This window comes from Homo sapiens, chromosome X (genome assembly GCF_000001405.40).
Source record: "Homo sapiens chromosome X, GRCh38.p14 Primary Assembly".
Taxonomy (NCBI): domain Eukaryota; kingdom Metazoa; phylum Chordata; class Mammalia; order Primates; family Hominidae; genus Homo; species Homo sapiens.
This window is the reverse complement of record NC_000023.11, coordinates 71,112,796-71,118,595: the sequence shown is the minus strand read 5'-3', so window position 1 is coordinate 71,118,595 and position 5,800 is coordinate 71,112,796.

The following is a 5,800-nucleotide window of genomic DNA, read 5'->3' as shown; positions in this document are numbered from 1 at the left end:
ACCGAGGGAAGCCGAGGTACGCCGGGAACCATCGGACAATACCGACTGCAGAGGAGGTGGGGCCTGGCCCGGTGGGGGCGGAGCTCTGTGCCCCGGGAGTTTTTCGGCGGTGGCGGCAGCAAGTCGATTTCACTCAGCAAAAATCTATGAAACGTTCCGGAGGCGCAGAATGAGCTGGGGATGCAAACCAGGGAAGAAGGAGGCCTCTGTGGTGCTGAGTTCTGACTGGACTTCGGTTCCCATAGCCTAGCTCGGTTTTGGCCTAGAAAAGTCTTCAATAATATTTGCATTGGTTAGGAACTCCGTCTATTACAGATCAGTTCGTTTCTTAGTTCCGGCATCTGAAAAATAGGTGCGCTAACACCTCCTTCAAGGGGCTATTGTGAACATTAGAAACTATGTATGCATGAGAAAGAACCTATTAAACCCTGAAAGGCTGGCTCTAATCCCTCAAGGTCTACCATCGAGTTGTCTAACCTTTTCTTGTTTGTTTTTCTGCCCAAGGGTACCGCATACTAACGTTTTTGATTCACAAACCCTTAAAGGTGCTGATGAAAGCTATGGACCTTCTTCCCAGAAATAATAATAATAATAATAATAATATGCATATATTGACATGCAAAATGTTGCTTTAGATTCTTAGATCCCCTGAAGTTCATCCATGTATCCCCTAAGGGTCCATGAACTCCAGGTTAAGAACCCTTGGTCTAGCTAAAGAGGCACCTATTGTGTCAGATGCTTTTCAGACACTATCTCCTTTAATCTGCTCACAGCCTCATGAGTTAGGGATTATTATTGGCTCGATTTTGCGGATGGAGGAAGCTGGTTTTCAAAGTGTGAAAATTCACTTATCCAATATTATACAGCTACTGAGTAACAGAGCTGGCACTAAGATTCTGAATTCCAGAGCCAATATCCTATTGTCGTATTGCTATTTGTTTATTTTGAGGCAGGTTCTCCCTCTGTCGCCTAGGCTGGAGTGCAGTGGCGCTATCACGGCTCACTGCAGCATCAACCTTCTGGACTCCAGCGATCCTCCCGCCTCAGCCTCCCAGTAGCCTGGACTACAGGCGTGCGCCACTGTGCCGGCCTTGTATTGCCTTTTAGAGAAAAGACAGCCAGTGTGCTGTAACAAAAGTAACAAATAACAATAAACAAAAATAACACCAGTAACAAAAATAACAAAATGCTATTGAATCACAATGGAAAGAAGAAGTAATTCAAGGCGGGGAGTGGTGGCTCACGTCCGTAATCCCAGCACTTTGGGAGGCCAAGGCAGGGAATCACCTGAGGTCAGGAGTTCAAGACCAGCCTGGCCAACGTGGTGAAATCCCATCTCTACTAAAAATACAAAAATTAGCTTGTGTGGTGGCAGGCGCCTGTAATGCCAGCTGCTCAGGAGGCTGAGGTAACATTTGAACTAACTCTGAAGGATATTTTTATTTTATTTTATTTTTTATTTTATTTATTGTTTTGAGACGGAGTCTCACTCTTGTTGCCCAGGCTGGAGTGCAGTGGCGTGATCTCGGTTCACTGCAACCTCCGCCTCCCAGGTTCAAGTGATTCTCTTGCCTCAGCCTCCCCAGTAGCTGGGATTACAGGCTTGCGCCATCATGCCTAGCTAATTTCTGTATTTTTAGTAGAGACGGGGTTTCTCCATGTTGGCCAGGCTGGTGTCAAACTCGTGACCTCAAGTGATCCGCCCACCTCGGCCTCCCAAAGTGCTGGGATTACAGGCGTGAGCCACCACGCTCAGCCTGAACGATATTTTATTTATTTATTTATTTATTTATTTATTTATTTATTTATTTTGAGACTGAGTTTCGCTCTTGTTGCCCAGGCTGGAGTGCAATGGCGCAATCTCGGCTTACTGCAACCTCTGCCTCCCTGGTTCAAGCGATTCTCCTGCCTCAGCCTCCCGAGTAGCTGGGATTACAGGCATGCACCACCATGCCCAGCTAAATATTTTTTTGTTGTTGTATTTTTAGTAGAGACGGGGTTTCTCTATGTTGGTCAGGCTGGTCTCGAACTCCCGACCTCAGGTGATCCACCTGCCTCCACCTCTCAAAGTGTTGGGATTACAGGCGTGAGCCACCAACCTGAAGGATATTTTTAAAAAGATAATTTTTCTTTTCTTTCTTTTTTTTTCTTTTTTTTTTTTTTTTGACAAGGTCTCACTCAGTGGCCCAGGCTAGACTGCAGTGGTGCAATCTCACTTCACTGCAACCTCTACCTCCTGGGCTCAAGCAAACCTCCCACCTCAGCCTCCCAAGTATCTAGGATCACAGGCGCTGGCCACCACACCCGGTTAATTTTTGCTTTTTTTTTTTTTTTTTTTTTTTGGTGGAGACAGGGTTTTGCTATGTTGCCCAGGCTGGACTTAAACTCCTGGTCTCTAGCGATCCACCCACCTCAGCCTCTGAAAGTGCTGGGATTACAGGCATGAGCCACAGCACCCAGCATAAAAGAATTTTTTAGAGCAGTTTTAGATTCACAGCAAAATTGAGAGGAAGGTATGGAGAATTCCCATATACTGTCTGCCCTCACACATAGATAAACTCCCCCATTGACATCCCCCACCAGAGTGGGCCAGGCATGGTGGCTCATGCCTGTAATCCCACCACTTTGGGAGGCCGAGATGGGTGGATTGCTTGAGCCCAGGAGTTCTAGACCAGCCTGGGCAACATGGTAGAACCTCTATCTCTCCAAAAGCAAAATAAAACATTAGCAGGGTTTAGGGGCGGGCGCCTGTAGTCCCAGCTACTCTGGAGGCCGAGGGGAGAGAATCACTCGATCTCAGGAGGTGGACGCTGCAGTAAGCCATGATGACCCCACTGCACTTCAGCCTGGGCAACAGAGTGAAACTCTGTCTCAAAACAAAACAAAACAAAACAAAACAACAACAACAACAACAACAACAACAACAAACCCACCAGAATGGTATATTCGTTAGAGTTGATGGACCTACCTTGAACATCATTACCCAAAGTTCATGGTTTACGTTAAAGTTCACTCTTGATGTTATTTTATACAGTCTGTGAGTTTGGACAAAGAATAACATGTGTCCACCATTGTAGTATCTTACAGAATATTTTCACTGACCTAAAAACTTTTTCTGCTCCACCTATTCATCCTTCCCTCTCCGACAACCCCTGGCAACCGTTGATCTTTTTACTGTCTCCATAGTTTCGCCCTTTCCAGAATGTCATATAGTTGGAATCCTATAGTAGGTGGCCTTTTCTGCATGGCTTCTTTCACTTAGTCATATGTATTTAAGTTTTCTCCCATGTCTCTTCACGGCCTTAATAGCTCATTTCTTTTTGCACCGAATAATATTTCACTTTCAGGATGTACCACAGTTTATCCATAAACCTACTGAAAGACACCTTCGTTGCTTCCAAGTTTGGGCAATTATGAATGAAACTGCTATAAACATCCGTCTGCAGGTTTTTATGTGAACACAAGTCTTCCACTCCTTTGTTTTTTTTTTTTTTTTTTTTTTTTTTGAGACGAAGTTTCGCTCTGTCGCCCAGGCTGGAGTGCAGTGGCGCGATCTCGACTCACTGCAAGCTCCACCTCCCGGGTTCACGCCATTCTCCTGCCTCAGCCTCCTGTGTAGCTGGGACTACAGGCACGCGCCACCATGCCCGGCTAATTTTTGTATTTTTAGTAGAGACGGGGTTTCACCGTGTTAGCCAGGATGGTCTCGATCTCCTGACCTCGTGATCCGCCCGTCTCAGCCTCCCAAAGTGCTGGGATTACAGGCGTGAGCCACCGCGCCCGGCCTCCACTCCTTTGTTAATACCAAGGAACATGATTGCTGAAAGAGTATGTTTAGTTTTATAGGAAACTGCCAAACCGTCTTCCCCAGTGGCTGTACCGTACCATTTTTGCATTTCCCCCAGCAACAAGTGAGAGTTGTTCCTGTTGCTCCACATCCTTGCCAGCATTTGGTGTAGTCCGTGTTCCGGATTTGGGCAATTTTTTTTTTTTTTTTTGAGACAGGGTCTCACTCTGTCACCCAGACTGGAGTGCAGTGGTGCAATCTCAGCTCACTGCAACCTCCGCCTCCCAGGCTCAAGCAGTTCTCCTGCCTTAGCCTCTCAAGTAGCTGGGATTACAGGAATGCGCCACTATTGCCTGGCTAATTTTTGTATTTTTTAGTAGAGACGGGGTTTCACCATGTAGGCCAGGCTGGTCTTGAACTCCTGACCTCAAATGATCCACTCACCTTGGCCTTCCAAAGTGCTGGGATTACAGGCATGAGCCACCATGCCCGGCCTCTTTTTTTTTTTTTTTTTTTTTTAAACAAGAGATGGGATCTTGCTGTGTTGCCCAGGCTGGTCTCCAACTCCTGGGCTCAAGCAACCCACTCGCCTCAGCCTCCCAAAGTGCTGGGATTTCAGGCAAGGTGTGAGCCACCTTGCCCAGCCCATTTTGGCTATTCTAATAGGCATGTAGCCCTGAAGGATTTATTTATTTTATTTATTTTATTTTTTAGGCAGAGTCTTGCTCTGTCACTCTGGCTGGAGTGCAGTGTGCGATCTCAGTTCACTGCAACCTCTGCCTCCTGGGTTCAAGTGATTCTTGTGCCTCAGCCACCTGAGTAGCTGGGACTACAGGTGAGTGCTACCAAACGTGGCTAATTTTTGTATTTTTGTAGAGATGGGGTTTTGCCTTCTGAAGGATTTTAGCCTACAGAAAGTTAGGAAGAGGCTAATTCCAGAGAAAGGAAATGCGTATGACATATCCAGTGTGGCTGGAATTGATCATTGGAGCTTGGGCTTTATTCTGAAGGCCATGAGTAGCTTTTGAAGACTTTTAAATTGGAGAATGCCCTCTGTAGTGGGTTGAATGTGGCCTCCAAAAAGATATGTTCACTTGGAACCTGTGGATGTCACCTTCTTTGACAAAAGGCTTTTAGCAGCTGTAATTAAGGCAAAGCTCCTAGGAGAGAACACCCTGGATTAGGGTGGGCCATAAATCCAATGACAGGTGTCCCTGTAAGAGAAGAGAAGGATAAAGGAGATGCAGAGAAGAAGAAGAGGTAATGCAAAGATGGAGGCAGAGATTGGAATGATGTGTCTACAAGCCAAGGAGCACCAAGGATCGACGGCAGCCACCAGAAGCTAGAAGAGAGGCATGGAACAACTTCTTCCTCAGCGCCTCCAGAAGGGACCAACCCTGGCCACACTGATTTCGGACTTCTGGGCTCCAGAACTGTGAGAAAATAAATGCCTTTTTTTCCTTTTTAAAAAATTTTTATTTATTTATTTATTTATTTATTTGAGATGGAGTCTCACTCTGTTGCACAGGCTAGAGTGCAGTGGCGCAATTTTGGCTCACTGCAACCTCTGCCTCCTAGATTCAAGCGATTCTCATGTTTCAGCCTCCCGAGTAGCTGGGATTACAGGTGTTGCCACCATGTCTGGCTAATTTTTGTATTTTTAGTAGAGACGGGGTTTCACCAGGTTGGCCAGGCTGGTCTCGAACTCCTCAAGCAATCCACCTGCCTTGGCCTCCCAAAGTGCTGGGATTGCAGGCGTGAGTCACTGCACCCAGCCGAGAGAATAAATTTCTGTTGGTTTAAGCCACTCAGTTTGGGGATAACTTATGGCAGCCCTAGCAAACTAATACATACTAAAGATACATACTAAATACTAAGCTGGGCCATATAGTCCAGTTTTCCTGAGACTCCCAGGCAAGTGCTGTTTTTCTTTGCTTAATATCCTACACCACTTTCTGTCTGGTAAAATTACACTCATTCTTTAAGATGCCACTGAAATAGCACCTCTTCAGC